This window comes from Homo sapiens, chromosome 1 (assembly GCF_000001405.40).
Source record: "Homo sapiens chromosome 1, GRCh38.p14 Primary Assembly".
Taxonomy (NCBI): domain Eukaryota; kingdom Metazoa; phylum Chordata; class Mammalia; order Primates; family Hominidae; genus Homo; species Homo sapiens.
In genome coordinates, this window is record NC_000001.11 from 207,471,699 (window position 1) to 207,498,372 (window position 26,674).

General features: G+C 39.9%; 2 protein-coding genes across 3 annotated transcripts in view; both read left to right on the plus strand.

Annotated features, from left to right (window-relative positions):
• The window catches only part of CR2 (complement C3d receptor 2), a 35,565-nt gene extending 17,371 nt beyond the window's left edge, over window positions 1-18,194 (plus strand). Inside the window, exons 10-20 of one of the 2 annotated variants that reach the window (NM_001006658.3) lie at window positions 1,074-1,481; window positions 1,847-2,023; window positions 2,103-2,187; window positions 2,543-2,625; window positions 3,126-3,518; window positions 4,536-4,721; window positions 6,187-6,372; window positions 7,559-7,582; window positions 8,280-8,355; window positions 13,766-13,874; window positions 17,444-18,194. In NM_001006658.3, the coding sequence (NP_001006659.1) occupies window positions 1,074-1,481; window positions 1,847-2,023; window positions 2,103-2,187; window positions 2,543-2,625; window positions 3,126-3,518; window positions 4,536-4,721; window positions 6,187-6,372; window positions 7,559-7,582; window positions 8,280-8,355; window positions 13,766-13,856 (1,709 nt within the window). In that variant the 3' untranslated portion in view covers window positions 13,857-13,874; window positions 17,444-18,194. The remainder of the gene's footprint in view (window positions 1-1,073; window positions 1,482-1,846; window positions 2,024-2,102; window positions 2,188-2,542; window positions 2,626-3,125; window positions 3,519-4,535; window positions 4,722-6,186; window positions 6,373-7,558; window positions 7,583-8,279; window positions 8,356-13,765; window positions 13,875-17,443) is intronic. The other variant, NM_001877.5, reaches the window with a different exon arrangement.
• CR1 (complement C3b/C4b receptor 1 (Knops blood group)) overlaps window positions 24,459-26,674 on the plus strand; it is a 145,609-nt gene continuing 143,393 nt past the window's right edge. The window contains exon 1 of the mRNA NM_000651.6: window positions 24,459-24,690. Coding sequence (NP_000642.3) covers window positions 24,570-24,690 — 121 coding nt within the window. The 5' untranslated portion in view covers window positions 24,459-24,569. The remainder of the gene's footprint in view (window positions 24,691-26,674) is intronic.

Here is a 26,674-nt window from a genome sequence, read left to right on the forward strand (position 1 = left end):
TTACTGATTCTATTTTGTGGTTTACGATTATGGGAATAATGACAGCGGTGAGTATATGAGCCACCATCTTAATTTTGGGTATACCACAGTTTAGTGGAGAGAGTAAGGGATAGGTGTCAGATCTGAATTCACATTCTGTCTCTACTGCTTACTAGTGTGAGACCTTGGACCACTTGTACAACTCCTCTGAAACTCTAGCCTTTCTTCTGTAAAGTTGGCATAAGACTACAGACTAGGAGGTCCAGAGAATGTAAATAAAAAGTAAAAAGGACCAGGCACAGTGGCTCACGCCTATAATCCCAGCACTTCAGGAGGCTGAGGGCGGCAGATCACAAGGTCAGGAGATCAAGACCATCCTGGCTAACATGGTAAAACCCCATCTCTACTAAAAATACAAAAAATTAGCTGTGTGTGGTGGCATGCATCTGTGGTCCTAACTACTTGGGAGACTGAGGCAGGAGAATCACTTGAACCCGGGAGGCGGAGATTGCAGTGAGCTGAGATCACACCACTGCACTCCAGCCTAGGCAACAGCGTGAGACTCCATCTCAAAAAAAAAAGTAAAAAGAAACGTAGAAAATTTAAAAAACACTACAGACTTCAAATTATTCAAATTAAATTGTACTATTGCTACTTTCTGGATGAGGAAACTGCCTATCACAAAGTAGGTGCTCATTCAACAATAAGTTTTCTCAGCTAGCCATATAAACCATCATATCACCTCAGCACAGAGTAACCAAGAAAGCATAATTCTATTACCCTGTGTCTTTTATTCTCCTATTGCCTAATTAAAAAGAATTCTTCTTTTAATTAGCAATTTACTACTGGGCCTAACTAACTCCTAATGTGATGTTGATCAACCACATTCACTTTGAATAAAGATTTTCTTTCCTATGAAATGTGTTTAAATTGCATTTTACATACTTAATGAGCTTTCACACAACTCACATCATGAAAATGTACCCATACCGTCCAGGAAACAACAGATTCATAACCAGCTTCATTTGGTGGTTCTTTGTTCTTTGGTGTCTAATACAGGAACTCAATTCTACAGTATCTTTTCATCTCTCTAGAAATCACCTGCCCACCACCCCCTGTTATCTACAATGGGGCACACACCGGGAGTTCCTTAGAAGATTTTCCATATGGAACCACGGTCACTTACACATGTAACCCTGGGCCAGAAAGAGGAGTGGAATTCAGCCTCATTGGAGAGAGCACCATCCGTTGTACAAGCAATGATCAAGAAAGAGGCACCTGGAGTGGCCCTGCTCCCCTGTGTAAACTTTCCCTCCTTGCTGTCCAGTGCTCACATGTCCATATTGCAAATGGATACAAGATATCTGGCAAGGAAGCCCCATATTTCTACAATGACACTGTGACATTCAAGTGTTATAGTGGATTTACTTTGAAGGGCAGTAGTCAGATTCGTTGCAAAGCTGATAACACCTGGGATCCTGAAATACCAGTTTGTGAAAAAGGTAAAAACCCAATAAGGGGGAAAAAAGGAGAGATTTACTTAATTATTCTTGTTTATTATCTCCCACCCAAAACTGCATCATGGAAAGAGGCAAGAGGGGCACAGATTACTTTCTGTTTCTTCCATCCTATAATAGATGTTCTCTGTGTTGTGTGTGTGCATGCAAATGCCCCCTTGGATCTGGGATCTATTCAGGGTAGATAATGAGAGAGCCTTTTTAAAGAGCAAACAGCATTCAGTAGTGAATTTGAGCTTCATGATCTTTGGCATCAGAGTTTCAGACTGTCTGTCCAATGTTGTACACTTAGTGTTCTTGAGTAGAAATTCCTCTGTGTTGGTATTTATGTAGGGAGTTTTTCTCTTCAGGCTGCCAGTCACCTCCTGGGCTCCACCATGGTCGTCATACAGGTGGAAATACGGTCTTCTTTGTCTCTGGGATGACTGTAGACTACACTTGTGACCCTGGCTATTTGCTTGTGGGAAACAAATCCATTCACTGTATGCCTTCAGGAAATTGGAGTCCTTCTGCCCCACGGTGTGAAGGTACTTTAAGTTCCAGAGTTGTCCTTCTCTTTGATATGAGACATCTATAAATACTGTAATTCCATCCTTGCTTCTCCAGAAACATGCCAGCATGTGAGACAGAGTCTTCAAGAACTTCCAGCTGGTTCACGTGTGGAGCTAGTTAATACGTCCTGCCAAGATGGGTGAGTATGAAGTGGTCTATTCTGAGAAAAGGTCTCAACCTTGTTTTGTGGATTAACTTGACCTTCAACTTGTCTTGGTGGCATCCTTTAGAGGCTCCTCATTGTCACAGGCATGGAGAATATGAGGTTCCAATGGCCTAAATAGCAACTCTGACTCTTCAGTCGTCTCTTGACATGGAAAGGGCTTTGCTTAACTCAAAAGTAGTTTTTTTACTTGGAGTAAAAAAAAGTAGTTTTTTACTAGAATTTCAACTCCTCTCTGCCAAAGTTCTTATTTAGAAGTCCCTTTTTGCATGCAGTTTGAAGAGATATGATATTGGGAACAGGAAATGCATTATAATCTGTCTCTCTGTAGGTACCAGTTGACTGGACATGCTTATCAGATGTGTCAAGATGCTGAAAATGGAATTTGGTTCAAAAAGATTCCACTTTGTAAAGGTAAGTTAGAAAAAATAAAAGCCTGACAATGGTAATGGAGGATTAGAGAGGGCAGGCCACTGAAGAATTAGTCTACTGCTGCTTCAGCAGTCTTAGGCGTCTCCCTCATTGGAGGTTAGATAAGAAAAATCTTATGGTGTTGGTCAGTATTGACACTGAGAAACAACATTGTCAAGTAGGAACTGTTTTTCATGCATCTGCTAATTTTGCTAACAATAACAAAATATATAGCCCATATTCCTAGGTCATGGGAACATAGCTGTATTTCTTTCTTCCTTCACACTTTACTCTATTTTCTGAATTTTTATGGAGTATATAGTACTCCTATAATCACATTTAATAAAGCTGTTTTTAAAAAAAGCATAATCCATATTCCAAAATTTAAGTTATTTTCTAGTTATGTGAAATATATGCAGTTGCATATTGTCATTTGTACCTGAATGAAGACCGCTCACCTTGAGGTACTAGCTGAAGTAGAACTCCCTAAATCTCTTCTGCAGTTATTCACTGTCACCCTCCACCAGTGATTGTCAATGGGAAGCACACAGGCATGATGGCAGAAAACTTTCTATATGGAAATGAAGTCTCTTATGAATGTGACCAAGGATTCTATCTCCTGGGAGAGAAAAAATTGCAGTGCAGAAGTGATTCTAAAGGACATGGATCTTGGAGCGGGCCTTCCCCACAGTGCTTACGATCTCCTCCTGTGACTCGCTGCCCTAATCCAGAAGTCAAACATGGGTACAAGCTCAATAAAACACATTCTGCATATTCCCACAATGACATAGTGTATGTTGACTGCAATCCTGGCTTCATCATGAATGGTAGTCGCGTGATTAGGTGTCATACTGATAACACATGGGTGCCAGGTGTGCCAACTTGTATCAAAAAAGGTAAGATACTTGGAAGGGATAAGTTATGGGATGTTGTACAGAATAAAGAAAAGAGGTTTTGAATCTGCACTTGACATTCTGCCTAAAGAAAAGCATCTAAGAGCTAAGGCAGTTATATTGTTTTACAAGATATTTGCCTTTTCCTATCTTCTCACTTGATTGTTTGTTTTCTCTTTCCTTTCTCAGTATATTGAGCAATAAATAGTACATGAAAGGATAATGGCTAACTTCCAAATTGATAGCATCTCCAAAAATTGTTATTGTTATGACTTTAGTGTAAGAAAAATGCACATACATTTTTGGCAAATGTTTGGCAGTAATATTGCTAATTATTTGATATTTAAGGCTATGTTGCCAGCCAGAAAGAGAACTTTGGGTGTTCTGGAGAATTAATTGGCCCTCCAACCCATTGAATTGTCTTTCTTGTAATTGTAGTTATCATTTGGCAGCCTTATTCCTGTCCATGACTATCTACAGCAGAGGCTGTTTGGCAACGGTTGTCTTTGACCAGCACAGTAATCTTAAGTGAAACCCATCTTCAGTTTAAGATAAATAGTGAGCTTGCGAGCCACAAGACCCCCTTTGCTTCCCAGCAAGGCACCAGTAACTTGAGCTGAGCAGTGGCTGCCACTTTTAGAAGGACAGGGGCTCTCTGACTTGTCGTATCTGGTGGCTTCACTTCCTAGCTCTCGTAGACATTTGAAGGTGTAACCATGTCTGCTATTTAAAGGGAAAGGAAAAGAAAACTGTTGGCTGATGGATTACCATTGTGAACTGTATCCATTAATGTTTCATTATCTTATTTTTTAACACTTTTCTTCAAATCATATTGGCTATCAGTAGGAAATGCAGATCTCCATCCAGTGTTGCTGGTCTGGGTGGAATGAATGAATGTTTTTGGATACCAGTTAGTTGGCTTGTTGCTTCTGGCCTTCCTGTATCGCTATCACCCAGAGATAGTGCAGGCTATGTGTTCCTCTGTGCTGAGTTAAAGACCCTTTCTTATTGGTGTCTAAGCCTTCATAGGGTGTCCACCTCCGCCTAAGACCCCTAACGGGAACCATACTGGTGGAAACATAGCTCGATTTTCTCCTGGAATGTCAATCCTGTACAGCTGTGACCAAGGCTACCTGCTGGTGGGAGAGGCACTCCTTCTTTGCACACATGAGGGAACCTGGAGCCAACCTGCCCCTCATTGTAAAGGTGCTTTGTCTATTTTTTATTCTTATTTTTATATCAAATTTGTGCCAAATAGATATATTCAGTTGGGTACTTTCAACTTAAAATAGCCAAAGAAATGAATTAACTGTCTGATTACATTAAAGGCTTTAATTAGATTAATACAATCATTAAATATCTCAAAATAAGAAAAAATGTCTCAGGCTGTAGTCTATCTGGTGAATGACCACTTATGTAGTCATTTACACATAGAAAGTTGGAGTTATGTCTGTAAATTAAACAACCAAAGCACAGATTGTATTTACACACTGTAGTTACAGTTATGTTAAGTGTGTATTTGATAAAGTACCAATAAAAAGCACAGCAATCTTTTGAGAATATTTACTGAGTGTTGGTGGGATTATGGGTACATTTTTAATAAAAGTTTCAGAAAGTCATTTTCATTGTCATAAACAGTGCATATGAAATATGACTAGTAAATTAGTGTCTAGTATTCATTGAACACTTTTTACTCTATGCCAGACACTGTGCACAGCACCTGACATGCATTATTTCATTTAGTCTTCATGAGAGCCACATGAGGTTGGTGCCATGATTATCCCTGTTTTATAGATGAGGTTTCAGTAGCATGGAGAGATTTGGAACTTACCCAAAGTCACACATCTAGGAAGTACTAGAGCCAGGCTTCAAATCCAAGATCTCACTGTGTTAATCCATTCTCACACTGCTAATAAAGACATATCTGAAACTGGGTAATTTATAAAGGAAAGAGATTTAATGGACTCACAGTTTCACATGGCTGGGGAAGCCTCACAATCATGGCAGAAGGTGAAGGAGGAGCAAAGGCACATCTTACATGATGGCAGGCAAGAGAGCGTGTGCAGGAGAACTGTCCTTTATAAACCATCAGATCTCATGAGACTTATTTACTATCACAAAAACAACACAGGAAACCCCACCCCCATGATCCAATGACCTCTCACCAGGTCCCTCCCATGGCGCATGGGGATTATGGGAGCTACAATTCAACATGAGATTTGAGTGGGGACACAGCCAAACCATATCACTCACACTATTGATGACTACACTGAAAAGAAGAAAGAAATGAGAAAGCACGCACATGTATGAAGAATTAGAGAGTAAAACTAGAAGCAGAAAATAACAGTAATTCAGAATACTTCATAATATTACCAATTCGGCCCTCACCATTTCTCCAAGAAGCCATTAAAATTATCCATCACTGTTTGGATAGAAACTGAAGCAAAAAACACAAATATAATCTGGCTTAAATTACCCAGAGGTTATTGAGATAGAGGGCTGACAGTAAAAGATTGTGTCTAGGATATAGTCTTATCCTATTTCAGTGCAGCTTTCCTTACTGAGAGTGAAACAGGTTGGTTTTATAAATCTTTCTATTAAGGGAAATTTCTGCTTTCTTGGTAAAAGGCCAAAATATGACTGTGCTTGAATTAGATTTCTTTAATTTCAGAGGTAAACTGTAGCTCACCAGCAGATATGGATGGAATCCAGAAAGGGCTGGAACCAAGGAAAATGTATCAGTATGGAGCTGTTGTAACTCTGGAGTGTGAAGATGGGTATATGCTGGAAGGCAGTCCCCAGAGCCAGTGCCAATCGGATCACCAATGGAACCCTCCCCTGGCGGTTTGCAGATCCCGTAAGTACCAAGGGCTTCACCGCCGCTTGTAACTGGCTAACGGAGAGAAGAGAGTGAGAGTTTCCCTCAGCGTGGAGAGTCCTGGGTTTTAAATTGACATAGGTTTGTGACCAGTTGTATAATTACAGAGGAACTTGAAGTCAGTGGTCTATTCTAGAAAAAGCACAGCTTGGCCAGGTCCGTGACTTCTGCCTGTGATACCAGAATTTTGAGAGGCTGAGGCAGGAGGATTGCTTGAGCCTAGGAGTTTAAAACCAGTCTGGGCAATGTAGTGAGACCTGGTCTCTACCAAAAAAAAAATAATAATAATAACCAGGCATGGAGGTGTGCACCTGTGGCCCCAGCTACTCGGGTAGCTGAGATAGGAGGATCACTTCAGCCCAGGAGGTTGAAGCTGCAGTGAACCATGATTGCACCACCGCACTCTAGCCTGGGCAACAGAGTAAGACCCTATCAAAAAAAAAAAAAAAAAAAAAAGAAAGAAAGAAATTAAATAAAATAAAAAAGAAAAAGGAAAAGAAAAAACACAACTTTCTTAGGATGGGGAAAGTGAAGAAAAGAAAATAGAAACACTAATTTAAAAGGAACAAAAATGTGAAACAAGCAACCTGAAATTTTGAAAGGAGTTGCTGCATAGACCACCCTACGTGCTGAATCTGAGTTAATAAGTGCTTACAATTTGACAGGGAACTCCAGAAATAGGTTAAATAAATAGTTGTTACAGTTAATATTTGCATTCTAACCTGAGAAATCTCTGATTATAAAGTTGAGTATATTGTTTTTGTCATTGGTGGACTCCCCCAATCTACTTAGAGTGAAAAAAAAAGGCCAGTGAGTTGCTACATAAGAAACAAGTGGATATAACTCAAGGTTCCAATACATCTTTTTTATCTGTTGTTTTTTGTTTTTGTTTTTGTTTTTGTTTTTGTTTTAAATAGACACAAGGTCTCACTATGTTGCCCAGGTTGGTCTCAAACTCCTGAGCTCAAGTGATCTTCCCACCTTGGCCTCTCAAAGTGCTAGGATTACAGGCATGTGCCACTGTGCCTGGCCCCAGTACATCTTTTAAATCGACTTGGAAGGGAGCTAGAGTGTTGATTTCTGGGACATTACCATGAAACGTGGGGCTACATTGAATTATGACACTATACTGATAATCATTTTCATGATTTTGTACTATTTTTAGGTTCACTTGCTCCTGTCCTTTGTGGTAAGTCTTCTTAAATACTTGAAGAAAAGCTCTTATAATATTTTTTAAAAATATGTAATGCTAGAGGTCCTATATCCTATCTGATGATATATTTAACTCATAGGGAATGTTCTCTTTTTGGTGTTTTAAAGATACTTCAATGTACATGTCACATTACAAAATGTCACTTTGGCATAGAGTTGGATAAATTATTTGAACAGCCAGCTCTTTCTTCTTTTTAAATTGATATTTTAGTTTTTATTAACTGTTGGTGTTTGGCTTGATTTGGTCTATTGAAATAGGCAGGCTTCTTCTGCTGTAGCAAAATACATTTCACAGCTGAGAGTTAAATGTTATGCAAAATTATAAGAACCTGGTGTCCTGTGCACCTAATTTCTATTCTTGAGATTTCTCTCTTGTCACCTCAGTGACAAGATTGTTACTAATAAAACTAAAAGGAACAGAAAAACTCAATGAAAAGTTGACTGGAACCTTGTGGTCATGTGCTTGGTGCTTTAGATTAAAGGTGGACTGGATCAAATCAGAAAAACCTTAAGCTCAACTATGATTATTCAGGAATTCAGCATTTATGTCCAAGAAGAGTTAAGTATGAGTCACATAACATTTTCCCCACCACTAGCAATAGGCCCTGCAATCAGTCAGAACAATGTAGGTGATCGTCTTCTGGCATTTGATACTTGCTGGATTTTTCTTCTAGGTATTGCTGCAGGTTTGATACTTCTTACCTTCTTGATTGTCATTACCTTATACGTGATATCAAAACACAGAGCACGGTAAGTTCAAAGGCGAATACTTGATTGACCAACATGCACAAGTGGTTTCGGCTTCTTGTCTGAAACTAAACACAGAAGCACAAGTTATGTGAAATAAATACTGCAATGTGATAACTAAATGAAGTATCTCGTGCTATACAAAAGGAAGCCCTTTCTGTAGGACTTAAGAGATATCAAACACTTAGCTTATTTTATTGAATGATGTTTATTCAGATAGTATATTGTAAACAAATCTAGAGAATAGGAAAAAAATCCCAGTGGGAACGACTGCAAATACTTTGGTGTATTCGTATCTGATCTTTTTCGTATATTTTTTCTCTCTTTAAACTGAAATTTTGTCATTTTCATCTTCTGTCTTGATTTTTTTCATTTAGACTCATGTTTATGTTTTTATGCTTTAAGTCATGTTTTCAGTTACTAAATAGCATATTATTCTATTCTGTGTATTTATATATGTATTTATGTGTTTTAAGTTCCTTCCAAATTTACTTTGATAATATATAAAGATAGGAGTAGCACCTCTGGCTAAACCTTTTTTCATACCCACTTATTTCCTTAGAATAGATTTCTAGAATTACTAAAGATAAGTGCATGAGCATTTAATATACTTGATAACTATTGTCAGATGACTTGCCAGGAAGTTTGTTCTTAGTAATATTTAATGTACTGGGATATGTCGTGTTTCTCAACCCCTTTTCCTGCTTCATTGATTTGCCTGTTCCATTACAAACCACTTTGTGTTTAATTAATACCTTTATGTTATTATATCTGGTAGGGCAAGAATTCACACTACAATTTTATAGGACTTTCCTCTCTATTCTCTTCTGTTTGTTCCTATAGGTGATTTTTAGAATCATTTATAATTTCAAAAAAAAATTGTGATTACATTTAAGTCTATAGATAAATTTGTGAGAAATTGGCATCTTTTCTGTAATGTCTTCTCATTCAGAAATATACTAGGTCTTTCCATTTGATCAAGTAATCTTTTCTCTCCCTTAGTCATTTTCATGATTACTTAATATTAACTATATTACTACGTTTCTATGTTTTGGTATGTTATGTTTTCTTATCCAGAAATTAGATATATTTTTGCATATTATTTTTAATTATTTTTAAACATCTTAATCCATTAGGAATTTATTTTATGGTATGGTAGTTGAAGTAAACCTACTTGTACTTTTTTTCCCTATATATTCAATTTTTTCAAAACCTATTTTGAGTAAACCATCCCTTCACCATTGGTCATAGTTTTCTTTATCAGATAAAGCACGCCTATTCAATTCTTGTGTACACTGGGGCTTATGTCAGAGATATCTGACATAAATATGCAAGATAGATTATATTCCACTGATCGGCCTGTCTCTATGAGCCAGAGCTACTCTATTAATAAATGTAGCTTTTTCCGAGATGTGTTCCCCCTCTTCAAAACTATTTTGAAATTTTCTTCTATTTATTTTTGCAGATAGGCTATAGAATTATTTGCACCACGACTACACCTCCCATACCCTAGAAAAATAAAATAAAATCTTAGATCATTGATAGGAAGTGCCTTAAACCTATATATTTATTTGGGAAGAACTGACCTCTTCATGATATTCACTATTTCCTTCCAGAAATACCAGATGACTAATTATTCAGATGTTTTGTTATATTTTAGTTAAAATTTAATAGATTACCTTATATAAGCTACATAGCCATAAAAGTATCTTATTTTTATTGCTTTATAAATAGAATCATTTTTGGTTATGTCTTATAAGTAATTGCAAATGATATCTAGGAAAGTCTATCTTTATACAGTCATTAATTCTAATAGCTTTTCAGTGAGTTACCCAATCATCTAAGTAGAAAACTATATTTTCTACCAATTATTATTATTGGTAGAAATAATTTCTACCTCATATCTACCGATTATACATTTTCATTTATTTGTTTTTGTCTCATTTTACTGAGAAGAATTTTAAGGAAAATCTTCAGTAATATTAGGGAATATTGGCATATTTTAACCTTTATTTTTAATATAAAGCCTCTAGTGTTTTATCACTAAAAATGATACTGCATCCTTTTTTCTTTTCTATATTACATAAAGTGTATTTATAGTCACAAAAGTTGTTTTTCCCTATTTAAAATCACTGAAAAATCTTGTTTCCCTTCTTTAAGCATATTTTTATATCACTATAAATATTTGCATAAATTTTTAAAATACAAAAGTAAATATGCTTGTTGTAGCAAATTAGTTTATAAAGATACTGAATAGTCTCTTCCACTGAACAACTGCTGGTGCCTTCAAGTCCAACATATTAAGTTGATGGATGTCAGCAATTTGCTGTAGATACTTTCATATGTTGCTCTATCTAGTATATACATGCATGGCTTTTAAAACATTTGAGCAGTAATGTTAGAGAAATAGAAGTCATGCGAAAAGAGGAATGACCACGTCCATCCATTCTTTTCTTATACAACAATGGCTGAGTGCCTACTATGCCTTAGCACTATACTAGGCTAGAATCACAAAGCCTAGTAGCATATGGCCTCTGTCATCAAGGAGGTCACAGCCTGGTAAAGGAGGACAAGCATGTCGCTAAACAAGTACCATAAAATAACGTCGCCATGGTGGATTATATGATATTTGGTGAGGATGCAAAGCAAATGGTCAATATTTGGGAGTTTTAATCAGGAAAAGTTTCAGCGTGGAAGAGATGTTTCAGGTGAGCCTCAAGAGAGTGTAGACAAGAAGAGAAAGGCATTCCAGACAGAAAGAGCAGTTTGAATAAAGGCCCAGAGGCTTGGCTTTCCATCATGTGTTGTGAGAACTACATAACCCATTTGAAATGGCTGGGAAATAGTGTGTGTGTGATGGTGATTGAAGGCGAAAGTGGCATAGCTTTAGGTGGAGACATGCCATTAAAGAAAAAAAAAAAAAACCCTGACACGTAAATCTTGTGGAAGCTACAGAATACTAATATGTGCAAAGGATACATTTTTAACAAAGCATACCGTCAGGTGTTGGCCTCGGATGTTATGTGTGCATAGGTTCGTGAGTCTTTGTACATGCTAGTGTTAGGGCGGATAATCCAATGAAGTCTTACCAACTCTCAGGTAGCTCCGAGTGGGGAGATGACCAAGTCATGCCACCTAAAACATGTCACCAAAAAGCTCCAGCAAAATTTCTTTCACGTGCCAAGTCCCCTGCATCTATCATTTACCCTGCCACCAGTGCCATCTGATGCCATGGCTCAGTTATGTAATTCCTAGAATAGGCTCAGACATGAAGGGGTTGCACTGAAACTATGTACTGAGGGTATCTACGAACCTGGGCAGTTTGTTCTAGGCTGGAGGCGGGAGGGTGAGGGCTGCCTATGGGGTTCTGGCTGTCCTGTACAGTTAGCGTGTACTTAGAGTGTAGAGTTTACCAGAGTGTGTACCACACAACCCTGCTTTCATGAATGACTTCAGAAAAAAAGGGTGTTCTATGGCAAATAAGATTTGGACATACTGCACACTGTTTTTTTTTCTTGTGGAGAATCACAAGGACCATGAGAATATTTAATAAGAGGTTTTTTGCTATCAAGAGGACAGGATTTCCAGGACTTGGTGACATGCTGGATGTGGGGAGAAGGAGGCACATAGAATGGCTCACATGAAGGCGATGAGGTGGACCCCCTGACTCACTAAAAGAGGAGAGGGGCAGGATTTGTGGGGGAAGATGAGGAGTTCGGTTCTGACCTGGTACTTTGAGGTACTCATGATTTAGGGCTTGGGAGAAGGGTCTGGACTCGGGTGGGTGACACTTAAATCACAATGAAAGCTGTGGAACCAAAAAGAACAGAACAGATAAAAATTGGGATGAGAACAGCCCTCAGAAGAACAGTAATGTTCAAAAGGCAGAAAGTGAAGGAAGAGAGGCAGGGGGAAAACTAGCAGAGAGTAGCGTCACAGAATTCAAGGAGAAAAGGGTCTCAAAAAAAATTAGGGATGTCATTTGCAGGGCCTTCCTCATAGGAAGTCACAAGATAATTTCAGCCAAGAGGCATTAGAAATGTAAATACATAGAAAATACAGTCTCTATCTCTTTCCTTCATGCTACTGAGTTTGCTATCAGAGCACTGCATGTGTATAAAAATTTGCAAATTTGGGGAATGCTTACAAGTGCAAATAATTTATAATATTCCAGTCTAATTATTGTTTATTAATATGATTATATCATGTACTATACTTAAGTGCCTCAACTGATATGAAGCAAACATACCTGTTTAACCAGATTCCTAGTTGCCATTCATTTATTTCCATTTGCTAACCCACTTCAATTGATTTTCCAATAATTGATAAAGACACTTGAATGGCCTGAAATGCTTTTTTAAATGAGATGAGTAATCATTTAAAAATGAATGTCTAGTGACAATATTAAATATTTTGAAAAGCCATCTAAACACTTGAAAGACACTATGCTATTCTTTTCTAGTCATCTAAGATATTGTAACAAAGCTTAAATCTCACATTGACCTAAAAATTACTGTTTTATAATCTTCTTAACATATCTCCTGTACACGGAACTCTTCAATATTCTAGTGAGTGACATGCTGTCAGTGTCTTTAGCAGTATTCTTTCTTCCCCAGTAATTTTGTATTATGTTATTTTAGAGCTTTACATGGTAGTATAATCACATTTTATTGTCTTTTAGTAATTCTGGCAAAGTGGTTTTAGAAGCACAATGAAATATGTGTACTTTCAAAGAAGGAAAGTAAAAACATTCTCTTCAAACTCGTTTAAAGCTTTTAAGTCAGACTAGAACATTGAGTCCCAAAAGGGTAAAGTTATGATCTAAAATAAGAACTTATTTTTGCTTCTTTTCTTCAATTTGGAAGTTGTAGTTGTTAGTCATTAAGCGTCCTGGATCCTAGGGTAAAGCTGCTTAGTGTCAGCCTCTGACTTGAACACTTACAAGCCTAGATCATTCATTTTTTATGTGCCTTTCCAAAAAATGGAGTTACAGTGTTTACACTTCATAGGATAAAAACAATAAAAATGAAATCATCACAGAAAACCAAACACCGTATGTTCTCACTTGTAAATGAAAGTTGAACAATGAGAACATGTGGGCACAGGGAGGGAAACATCATACACTGGGACCTTTCACAGGGTTGGGGGTTAGGGGAGGGATAGTATTAGGAGAAATACCTAATGTAGATGACGGGTTGTTGGGTGCAGCAAACCACCGTGGCACATGTATACCTATGTAACAAACCTGCACATTCTGCACATGTATCCCAGAACTTAAAGTATAATTTAAAAAAATGAAATCATCCACAAAAGTACTTACCATGTGTTGGGAATTATGGAAAGCAAACAACTGCTACATTGAAACATGGTCAATGAGTAAAGATATTACATTTTTCTTTCTTCTTCTGTTTAGCAATTATTATACAGATACAAGCCAGAAAGAAGCTTTTCATTTAGAAGCACGAGAAGTATATTCTGTTGATCCATACAACCCAGCCAGCTGATCAGAAGACAAACTGGTGGTATGTAATGAAATGGAATATTATTAATTTACATATAAAATTTCCTTCAACTTGTATTTATCAATAAGCGTAGCATTCACGGTGTATATACATGCTTCTTACTATTGCACAAGTCTTCAGTAATCATGCATAGCAATTGTTCATTTACCTACTTCATTTTGCCAACTAATGTTCCAATTTTTTAATCCATTCATCCATTCAACAAATATTAAACTAAATAGCAAAACAACTAAGAATAAAATCAATAAGATGATAAGCATTATATAGAGACATAATAAAGCAGGCAAGGGGGATAAAGAGAACAGGGTGGTCGCAAGGGAAGCTCTTACTAAGAGAATGTCATTTGAGAAAAAACTCAAGGGAAGTAAAGAGCCAGGGCCGGCCTTGGTGGCTCACGCCTGTAATCCCAGCACTTTGGGAGGCTGAGGCAGGCAGATCATTTGAGGTCAAGAGTTCGAGACCACTCTGTTCAACATGGTAAAACCCTGTCTCTACTAAAAATACAAAAATTAGCCAAGCGTGGTGGTGTGCACCTGTGGTCCCAGCTACTCGGGAGGCTGAGGCAGGAGAATCACTTGAGCCTAGGAGGCGGAGGTTGCAGTGAGCCAAGACTGCGCCACTGTACCCCAGCCTGGACAACAGAGCAAGACTGCATCTCAAAAAAAAAAAAAAAAAAAAAAAAAAGCCAGCCATGTGGCCATATGAGGGAGGAGGATTCCAGAAAGAACAGTAGGTGCAAAGGCCATAAGGCAGTGTGTGCCAGCTGTGTTGGCGGCACAGCAAGGAGGCCAGTGTGGCCTACAGTTGTAGAGATGAAGTCACAGAGATGGGGGTGGGATGTGGGCGAGAGGATGATCGTACAAAGTCTGCTATGTCATTGTAATGGGATGGTGGGCAGGAGAGGATGATTGTATAAAGTGTGCTAGGTCATGGTAAAGAGATTGGTTTTTATTTGGAAGCTTTTAAGGAGAGGAGCAACACATTCACCTTAACTGCTGTGTTAAGAACAGACTGTAGGAAGCCATGGGTGGAAGATGGGAGTCAATGAGGAGGCTGCTGCAATCATCCAGGCAAGAAATTGTCAGTGGCTACCACCAGGTTGTAAGAAGAGGCCAGATTCTGCATGCAATTTTAAGACAGTGACAGTAGGATTCGTGGATAGTTTGTATCAGAATATGAGAGGAAGAGAGCTGTCAATAATGACACGAGGGCTTTTGCCTAAGCAACTGGAAGGATAGAACTGCCATTAATTACATGATTGAGATTGCAAAGAGCAGGACTGGGGAGAAAAATCAGGAGTTCCACTGTGGAGATGTTAAATGTGGATGTCTAATAGACTTGGCAAGAAGACAGCTGATGTACAAGTCTGTATTTTGGGCAATTGGTCCAGGCTGGAGATAAAAATTTGGGCTTTGTCATCATGTGGTTGTACATAACAAGGAGACTGAATAAGATCTCCGAGAAGTGAAAGAGGCTAGCAAAAAGAAAAGGTCCAAGTACTGAGCCCTGGATCCTCCAACATTAGAAGTCATGGAGTGAGAAGGCACCCACTAAGAAGTGAAGGAGCAGCCTCTGATACTATCCAGAGAAGAACCTTAAAGTCAGGCAAAGAAAGAATTTTAGGGAGGAGGGAGTGATCAACTCTGTCCAGTGTTGCTGGTAGGCCAAAAAAATGAGCCCTGAAAACTGACCATTGAAATTCAGTAGCACAATTTTTTTGCTGTTGTTGTTTGAGACAGGGTCTCACTCTGTCGCCCAGGCTGGAGTGCAGTGGTGTGATCTCAGCTCACTGCAGCCTCTACTTCCTAGGTTCAAGTGATTCTCATGCCTCAGTCTCCTGAGTAGCTGGGATTATAGGCAAGCAGCACAAAATTTGCTGCTGAACTTGACAAGACAGTTTTTGAAGAGAGGAAGGAGGCAGGAGCCTGACTGGACGGAGCTTAAGAGAGAATGAAAGGAGAGAAATTGCAGCTATCAAATACAGACAACTCTTTCTAGGTTTTTTTCTATAAAAAGGAGCAAATAAGTAAAGTGCTAGTAAGAGTAAAACATAAAGTCAACAGAAATATTTTTTAAGATTGGAGAAATAGCAGTTATGCCCTATTCCTACATGATGATGGGAATAATTTAGTAGAAAGGGAAAGAGTGATGGCAGAAAGAGAGAGAAGAATTGCTCGAACAAGGTCTGGGTAAGCTAGGAGGAACAGATTAAGCAGAGGAGCTCCTAGCTGCGTGGGCTTAGTAACAGGAGGGAGGGCAGAATCTGCAGGTGCAGATGAAGGCAGGTTGGGAGCTGTGATGGGGAGTGAACGTGTGGAAGTTCTCTTCCGATGATTCAGTCTTCTCAGTGAATAGAAAGCAAATTATTCAGGTGAGAGTGAGGCTCAGAAAGGAGGTATTAGAGAGTTAAGAAGAAAAAGGAAGGCATTAAATCATCAACTAAGAACTGAAGACTGAATTATAGGGAGTACAGAAAGGCCGACAGGCCACATGAGATGTGCACCTGAGTTTCCCATGAGAAAGTGGGGATGAACATTTGAAGGTTTACTCTGTCCGGGGATTATGTGACAGTCTTTCATGCCTTCTCTTACTTAGCCATCAGTACCACTTTGAAAGGTGGGTGTTCTCCCAAGATAATATCAAGATGAAGAAATAATATCCAAGAAAACCTTGGGCAAGGTCTCAGGGTCAATCATTGGCAAAGGTGGAATGCAAGCTCATGCCTGAGTTTAAACTGCTTTCTCCTACATAATCTAGAAAATAAAGATACCAGCCAGGAGTGGTGGCTCACGTCTGTAAACCCAGCACTTTGGGAGGCCAAGGCAGGCAGATCACGAGTTCAGGAGATCGAGAACATCTTGGCCAACATGGTGAAACCCCGTCTCTACTAAAAATACAAAAATTAGCTGGGTTTGATGGCACGTGCCTGTAATCCCAGCTACTCGGGAGGCTGAGGCAGGAGAATTGCTTGAACCAGGGAGTTGGAGGTTGCAGTGAGCTGAGATCACGCCACTGCACTCCAGCCTGCTGACAGAGCGAGACTCCATCTCAAAATAAAATAAAATAAAAAATATACCACCTCTGTCCTCTTGGAACTTATTTTAATAAGATAAATAAGACCCATAAATATCATAGGTAATAATACATACCATAAACAAGGTATAGAAAATCTGTGATGGCAGTTGAGGAAGAAAAGGTAACCTGCTGCTGGTGAGTCCTGACAGGGGGACCATACTAGTGACCTCTAAATCCAAACCAGTTGAGGTACAGAGTACACCTAGCTCATAAATATTTGTTGAATGAGTTTATGAATGAGAAAGATTAGTACTTTCATTTCTCATTTAGTTTAATTCATGTTTATATGAATGTATATAAAATGTAGTTATTTGTTCCAGAGCATGTTATATGAAGAAAGGCCTTTCAATAGAATGATATCTTCTAATAGACTTGATGCTTTGTTGGTTATACCAGCTGTAACTGGTATGTAAAGAGAATGTTAGCATTATTTAAACTTCGAGTTGCACCGCTGCTATTCATGCTGCCTCCTAAACAGAAATGATCTATTTCAGTGTGCCTCATTGCTTGGAATTCAGCGGAATATTGATTAGAAAGAAACTGCTCTAATATCAGCAAGTCTCTTTATATGGCCTCAAGATCAATGAAATGATGTCATAAGCGATCACTTCCTATATGCACTTATTCTCAAGAAGAACATCTTTATGGTAAAGATGGGAGCCCAGTTTCACTGCCATATACTCTTCAAGGACTTTCTGAAGCCTCACTTATGAGATGCCTGAAGCCAGGCCATGGCTATAAACAATTACATGGCTCTAAAAAGTTTTGCCCTTTTTAAGGAAGGCACTAAAAAGAGCTGTCCTGGTATCTAGACCCATCTTCTTTTTGAAATCAGCATACTCAATGTTACTATCTGCTTTTGGTTATAATGTGTTTTTAATTATCTAAAGTATGAAGCATTTTCTGGGGTTATGATGGCTTTACCTTTATTAGGAAGTATGGTTTTATTTTGATAGTAGCTTCCTCCTCTGGTGGTGTTAATCATTTCATTTTTACCCTTACTTGGTTTGAGTTTCTCTCACATTACTGTATATACTTTGCCTTTCCATAATCACTCAGTGATTGCAATTTGCACAAGTTTTTTTAAATTATGGGAATCAAGATTTAATCCTAGAGATTTGGTGTACAATTCAGGCTTTGGATGTTTCTTTAGCAGTTTTGTGATAAGTTCTAGTTGCTTGTAAAATTTCACTTAATAATGTGTACATTAGTCATTCAATAAATTGTAATTGTAAAGAAAACATACAACACTTGCCTTATTTTGTTTTTTTTTGGAGTCAATGAACTCTTCGATAACAGAGAGTCTTAGGGCTTTAAAGTCCACGATTTAACAGTTATTCATTCAGGATCCCATCACTTGGTCGTTTTAGCCAAACTTTTAACCCACAAATTCAATTTCCTCACCCTCAAGACTTTCTCTTATATTTGTCCAGCCAATACCTTCTCCGGCTCACTCATCCTCTCCCACCACACCCTTGATATAGATATAGCTGTTAATTTTCTCTGTTCCAACATTTAAACTATTGAGAAAATAAAACCTTGCTCACTGGTGACCACAAATTTACTCTGTACCTTCCCCTAGACTAGGTATGCTGTTCAGCATCTGTTTTTTTTCTGTTTTTTAAAATTGTGATTAAAAACACATAAAATTTACCATCTTCACCATTTTTAAGGGTACAGTTCGGTAGAGTTAGGTACATTCACATTGTTGTAGAGCAGATCTCCACAACTCTTTTTCTCTTATAAAACCAAGATTCTATATCCATTATATAGTAACTCCACATTCCCCCATCCCTTCAGTCCCTGGCAACCACCATTCTGTTTTCTGTCGCAATGAATTTGACTACTCTCAGTACCTCATATAAGTGGAATCATACAGTACCTGTCCTTTTGTGACTTATTTCACTTAGCATAATGTCCTCAAGGTTCATTAATGTTGTAGCATGTGTCAGAATTTCTTTCCTTTTTAAGGAAAGGAAGAAATTCATTGTGTGTATATGCAATTTTGTTTACATTTTGTTTATCCATTTATCTGTCGATAGACATTAGGTTGTGTATTAGTCTGTTCTTACATTGCAATATAGAAATACCTGAGACTGAGTACTTTATAAAGAAAAGAGTTTTAATTGGCTCATGGTTCCGCAGACTGTATGAGAAGCATGATACTGGCATCTGCTCAGCTTCTGGGGAGGCCCCCAGGAAACTGACAATTATGGCAGAAGATGAAGAGGGAAGCCAGGCATGTTTTACATGGCAGAAGCAGGATCAAGGGAGAGAATGGGGAGGTGCCACACACTAGAACAACACCAAGGGGATGGTGCTAAACCATTCATGAAGGATCCACCCTCATGATCCAATCACCTCCTACCAGGTCCCACCTCCAACAACTGAGGATTACAATTCGACATGAGATTTGGATGGGAACACAGCATTTTTCTGAGCCCTCCATATTTTTCCAACCTCTGCCTGTTACCCAATTCCAAAGTTGCTGCCGCATTTTCAGGTATCTTTATAGCAATGACCCACTCCTGGGTACCAATTTTCTGTATTAGTTTCTTCCCACATTGCTATAAAGAAATACCTGAGACTGGATAATGTATAAACAAAAGAGGTTCAATTGGCTTATGGTTCCAGGGTCTGTACAGGAAGCATGCTGCTGACTTCTTCCTGCCTTCTGGGGAGGCCTTGGGAAACTCACAACCATGGAGGAAGGCAAAGGGGAAGCAAGGCATCTCATACGGTGGGAGCAGGAGGAAGAGAGAGAGGGGGCAGGTGCTACACACTTTTAAACTACTAGATTTGGTGAGAACTCACTCCCTACATGGTACCAAGCTAATCCATTCATGAGAAATCCACCTTCATGATCCAATCACCTCCTAGTAGGCCCCTCTCCAACACTGGAGATTACAATTTGACATAATATTTGGATCCAAACCATATCAGGTTGTTTCCATCTCTTTACTATTGTGAATAGTGCTTCCATGAGCATGGGTGTGCAGATGTCTTTTCAGACATTGCCTCAATTCTTTTGGATCCATACCCAGAAGTGGGATGCTCTTCAGCACCTTTTATTCGTGTACAGTCAGCAACACTTTCATTTCCCCACATTGTCTGTTCACTCACCTCGAGCCATCTACTCTATTCTACATTCATTCATTCTTCCTTCTATTAAGGGATGATGAAAACATCCGAAGGTAATTCTCTTAACTTCCTCTCCCTCCACCTTCCATCCTATCTACATCCACTCACCCTTACCCTCATGTCTGTCTTCCACTTTTCACAGCCTATATCTTTCACTCTTCATCCCTTTCTGTCTTTTCCAGGACATTGTTCCTTCAGTTAGCCCCTCTCTCATCATTGGCTCCTTCGTTCCACCTCCAAAACTCCTGAAGCCAAGACCTGCTGAGCTGCATGTGACAGAAATCCACCTCACACTGGCTTAGACCAAAAATGAATTTTGCTAAATCACATGACAGAAAAGTCCAAGCATGTAGCTGGCTTTTGTCAAAACAGGAATAGTCAAAGGGTGCCTTCAGGAATATCTTCTCCTTCTGCTTTGCCTGGCTGGCTTCATTCTCTGGAAAAAACTCCCTAAAAACTGGCAAAATATTTACTGATGATGCAACATGCACGTCTCATCAGCTTAGCCTTCCAGTACAAAGAGCCTCTCGTCCAATAAGTCTTTCAAAAGTCCCTTCAATAGCTTTCATTCTCCAAATAGGGTTACATGCCCCCAAAGGAAACAATAACTAGGAGCAGGACAGTGAAATAAACACAGGGCAAGGCCTGAGTTGCCTGCCCAGCCTTGGAGATGGGGGTAGGGTTGGTCTACCTCATTGGTTCTCAGGTGGGATGATTTTGCCCTCCCAAGGACATTTGGCAGTGTCTAGAGACATTTTTGGTTACTACAACTGAAGGACGGAAGGGCTTCCAGCCTCTAGTAGGTAGAGGCCAGGGATACTGCCAAACATCCTCCAAGGCAAAAGACAGCCCTCCAGAACAAAGAATTATCTGGTCCACGATGTCAATAATATTGAGGTCGAGAAACCATAGTCTTCCAGAATCACACTGAACTATGGGAAAGAGGGGATTTCCCAGTGGAAAAATCTAGGGGCAAATCCCAGAGGAAGGGACCCATTTAGAGCAACAGATATCCACCTTCACCTCCATCTGAAAAAAATCTTCCCCCAAACCATCTATGTTTCTCGTTTAAACTACCTCTCTTACACCAAATTTTCTGAAAGAGTGGTTGGCCTTAGCTGTCTCAACCACTGTAGTCATTCATTCAAGTGATGATAATTATGGAGCTCCTTCTGTGTGCTAAGCATTATTTTAGGTCATGGGATTTGGCAGTCGTAAACTGACATGTTCTCATGCAGCTTTTATTCTGGTGGGAGAGACACACAATAAGCAGATTTTCAGTTGGTAATAAAATGAAAAAATGATAAGTATAATTTTTTAATCTATATGAAACAGGCAAAAAGGAAAGGAAGTTCTGAATTAATGTGCAATTTTAAATAGTGGCCAAGGAAGGCTCCATTAAGAAGGTCTCATTTGAGCCAAATAACTCAAGGAGATGAGGTAGTAGCCATGCAGAGCGATATCTGGGCAAAGAGCATTCTAAGCAAAAGGAATATTAAATGGGAGGAAAAAACTGAAGAGAAAAATACACCTGCTGCACTTGGAGAAATAATTTGTTTGCAAGCTGATGGTAAAAATCCAGCAGAAAGAGGTGTATGATAGTGCTGGAGGAAGTGAGAATTGCTGGTTTCCTTGAGTGAGTGAGAGCAAATCGAATCTAGGGCACAAGTGGAGAGATCACCCTTAGACTTAGACTGTGAACAGTATAATTATATTAACAGGAGAGACGGAGGTTTCATGGGCCAAATACAAGAATTTGGGTGGAGTGATGGTAGAAAATTGTAGATCTATTTGATTGTTTCTATTTTCTCAATAAAGAAAGAAACAAAGCCATTCACAGAAATTAAGAATGTTGGAGAAGGTGTCAGAAATAAATGTCAAAATAAAAATATGAAATAGTCATTTAGGAGAATGGGAGAATAAATGGATTAGACAAACAATAGTGGGAATGTCAGGCAGAAGTATAATGGTCCATTTGAAATTATTTGTTACTAAAGTAAGGCTAGTCATTGTGGCTATGTGTCTTTTCCAGCCACATTCAGTTTCACAGGTATGAGAGCAAAATAATGGAGAATTGATTCTAACCAGGAATGTTGTTTTGTCTAATGGCTATAATAACCCAAGAGAAGGGTGAGGGAGCTAACAGTGGGTGCAAGATGGTGATTATAATGACAGAGTATGGAATTTAACCTGGTAGTGATGAAAGTGAAGACACAAAGGAGGTGAGAAGCTGAGAGAGATAGCGGTAGGATCAATGGGCTGCAGGCACTGAGACAGACAAAGATTGCTGGATTCAGTTTAACGTTACTAGGGTAAAAGAAAAGAGTTGGATTGGTGGTTAGAGAGTGGGATCATTGAAATCACTGAGAGGTTGAAAGTGACAAGTCTCCGAGCATGCACATGAGCATTAGAGTCAGAGGAGAGTGGAGGACAAGACCACAGGCAGAGAAGAGGTCAAGGCACTGGAAGGCCAGGGATTTGAAAATACTATTGCTGTGAATGTTGAAATCACCAGGAACTGTGGCAGAAGTAACAGTGGAGAAGGTGGCCATGAGCCAGGAGCTCAAACTTTCAAGGAATGAGGGAGAAAGTAGATACTAGGAGATGGATACCAGCAGAAGTGGTAAGGAGTGGCACCTTCTGATAGCATGTGATGTAAAACTGGGGAAATGAGCCTTCTCCTCTTCTCTTTTCCTAAGCCTACTACAATCTGGCTGCTACTCCCATTACTCTGTTGAGAATAACTTGAAATGATGATAGCAAATCCTTAAAAGAATGTCACTGGATGTACTAAAAACTGTGATAAGTGATATGATCAAAGTAGACATTTCTTCCACTAGAATTTTGGGAGGAAGCCTAATGGAAACCAATGCGCACAGAAAGACAAATGCTGTATGTTATTAGTCATATGTGGACTCTAAAAAACTCATCTCATAGAAGTAGAGGGTAGAATACTGGTTACCAGAGGCTGGGGAAGGGAGAGACAATGGGAGATGGAGAGAGATTGGTTAAAGGGCACAGGATCACAGATAGATAGGAGGAATACATTCATCCTTGAATACTTAACCCTCTGCCCTAAATCTGTCAGTCCTACATCCATACTTCTTATTTCAGTAAGTAGCACCACCATTCATTTCTAATCCTGGGGCTAACTCTTTTTTTTTTTTCTTTTCTGAATCATGTCTCCTTTTAATGGTTAAGGAAAACAAGTTTAACATAAAATTAGCAACAACAACAACAACAACAACAAAATCAAGGTTTAAAGTCAAAATTATTTTAAGAGAAAAACCCAGGCAAAATAGCCTACCTACAGGCAGGCAGTACATGTCAGAAGGACAGGCCACCCCCAATAAAAAAGATAAAATATTATTTTTTCTACCTTTTTTAAACTTAATTATTTAATTATTTCTTTCTTTTTTCTTTTTTTTGTTTCTTTTTTTTATTATACTTTAAGTTTTAGGGTACATGTGCACAACGTGCAGGTTTGTTACATATGCATACATGTGCGACGTTGGTGTGCTGCACCCATTAACTCGTCCTTTACATTAGGTATATCTCCTAATGCTATCCCTCCCCCCTCCCCCCACCCCACAACAGGCCCCGGTGTGTGATGTTCCTCTTCCTGTGTCCATGTGTTCTCATTGTGGAAGCTGGAAACCATCATTCTCAGCAAACTACCGCAAGGGGGCTAACTCTTGATTGCTTTCTTCTCACCACCAACCTTAAGAAAGGAAGTAACCAAAATCCAATACATGAGCAACTGTTCATTCCATCTCCAATATCTTTGTTAATTGTCCACTTTATCCACCCAGTCAGGGCCGCCATCAAACCTCACTTGGATGTCGGCAAAAGCTCCCCTGACTGGTCTTCGCAGTCCATTATTGCCCTATTCTAATCTACCTTCCATACTATACACAGATTTACATTTTTTAAATGTGTATCTAATTGTCCCTCCCTTTTAAAAAATCTTACAATGGCATGACGTCTCAATTCAGGGTAAGGAAATTGTTTCTTCACATTCCCTGTACACCGTACACATCGCCTGCAATTGCCCTTCAACACGGAGAGCAGGCATTTCATTAGCTGACCTTCCCACACACATTCTTGCAAAGAGGAAAAGTTAAGCAGGGTGTTTGGAGGCGAGCTGCCATCATCCACCGCCTTTGTCTGGAAGCGCAGGGCCTCACACGCGGGATCCATCGGAAGCCCGAGCATTGTCAAGCTCTGCTGCTGCACCTGGGTCAGCAAGGTGGGCTCTGCCAGCGAAACTCGTTAGAAACAATGCAAATGGGGAGTAAACATGACCTCGCCCATGAAGGGGAAGCTGTGGTCAAAAGCATTTTGTCCCGGAACCCCGCAGCCCTCCCCACACTCTGGGCGCGGAGCACAATGATTGGTCACTCCTATTTTCGCTGAGCTTTTCCTCTTATTTCAGTTTTCTTCGAGATCAAATCTGGTTTGTAGATGTGCTTGGGGAGAATGGGGGCCTCTTCTCCAAGAAGCCCGGAGCCTGTCGGGCCGCCGGCGCCCGGTCTCCCCTTCTGCTGCGGAGGATCCCTGCTGGCGGTTGTGGTGCTGCTTGCGCTGCCGGTGGCCTGGGGTGAGAGGCGGGCGGGCGTGGGGAGGCGCCCGGGCGGACGAGGAACCCGGGGCCCCGCAGAGAACTCGCGTGCAGCGCTGAGCTGCGCTGCTCTGCGCGCCCGGGTCCGAAGGCAGCGCGATGGGTGGGCTGAGCGCGCGACCCGGCAGGGCGGCGGGTGTAGGATCCTTCTGCGCACTGGAGACCCTCGCTGCTTCTGGGTAAGCGTGGAGTTCCCAGGTGCAGGGGCTTAAGTCGTGACGAGCGCAGTGGAAGGCGCAGATGCTGAGCGGGTGCCGCACGAAATTCCTTGCCTTTGTGTATTCACAGCCTCGGCTGGCTATAGCCAAGACGTGGCGTTGATCCTAGTGAAAGGGAACTTGGGGATCCGACAAACCTGAGTTCTGGTCCTAGAAACTTAACTGTGAGGCAACTTAGCACACCTGAGTCTGTTTGCTCTTCTGTAAAATGGGGACACTGGTATCTCTGCATCGTGGAGTTGCTGCCTCAGTGGCATTAAGCCTGTCGAGTATCTAACACAGGGCTATGTGTCCCCGAGTCCATTTCTATCCCCCAACCGTTACCTCTGTACTTTGCTCCCAATGGTGTTTAGACAAGCAGTCCTAGGGATGCAGGTGTTACCTGACAACTGCCCCGCATGGAACTGTCCTCGCCCCCCACACCAAGCCACCACGGCCATCATCACCATGCACTTAATTGACAGCATACTTTAAGACAGATGCATGCCAGGCACTTGCGGATTAGAAGAGCAAGGGAAGCCCCAGAACATGCAATGTAACCGTTGCAGGTAGAAGGGACAGTAGATATGTTTACAGTTCGCATTTTAGTGATGTGTTTAGTACAAAATAACGCCTATTATAATTATTATGGAAATTTTGAGGCCACATCTCTTCCTTTTTCTTAACTTCAAATAGGTAAACATCTTCAGTTAGAACCCTTCTATTATTATTTTTCGGCTCCCCAGAAGTCTTCTTGGTTGCCTAGACTCACTGGCAACATCTCATTTGAAGTGACAGTCTTGGTTGTTTTTGTCCAGCCTATTCCTGACAACTCCGGGTTCGCCCTTCTCTGCCACTAGACATTTTACATTCATTATTTGAGTGTTCCTTCTTCTCTAAAAGAGTAAATAAAATAAAATAAAGTAGAACCAAGTCCCGCAAGAGTTGTTATTAATATTTGATCTCCTTAGGCACCAGAAAGTAACCTGTCAGGTGCAGAGATGTGATAAAACGTACAATCTTATTTTTAGGAGAGAAGCATGCCCAGTAAGTTAAGCAATCTGTTGTCAACGCTTAGGAATTTGTGTCATCTTTGGGAGTACTGGCCCTCTTCTTACTAGAATGTTGTTTTACTTAGCCTATGTTGATTAAGTTACTGTTATAAACAATCCCAGACACTATTAATTGCAAAAAAAAAATTTACTGAGGTTATCACAATAACTTCCAAATGTGAAACAGCCTAAACTAAACTACCTAGAAATTTTGTTGCTGACATAATTTAAATTTTAAAATGCTGATGGATGCTTCCAGTGTGCACGGTCCTTTGGAATTTTAAAGAAGTATAAGAGCTCTGCACCCAAAGTGTATGCATATAGAAGTAGGTGGTGGAGTTTTATGAAATCTACTTATTAGGAAGCCAGCGTTCTGCTTTTTCCAGCCTCTGCTACTTACCAGCTGGTGTCTTGGACCCAGTAAGTTAAGTCACATCACTGACCTTCAGTGTCCACATGTATAAAATGAGCACAACTGACATCCTGATCTCTGAGAGAGACGTTTTGAAAATCAGATGGTGTAATGCATGTGACAGTGTTTTGTAATCTGAAAACCCCCATGCATGTCTGAAAAACCATGACTAAGAAGTCGTGCAAGACTGCAGGATCACCGAAAAGCGAGAAATCTCAACTCCTATGATCAGGAAAGGATGAGTGAAAGGTATATGGCTTTACTAGCACTTAAAGAGTGAATCTAGAAACAGATTGCATACG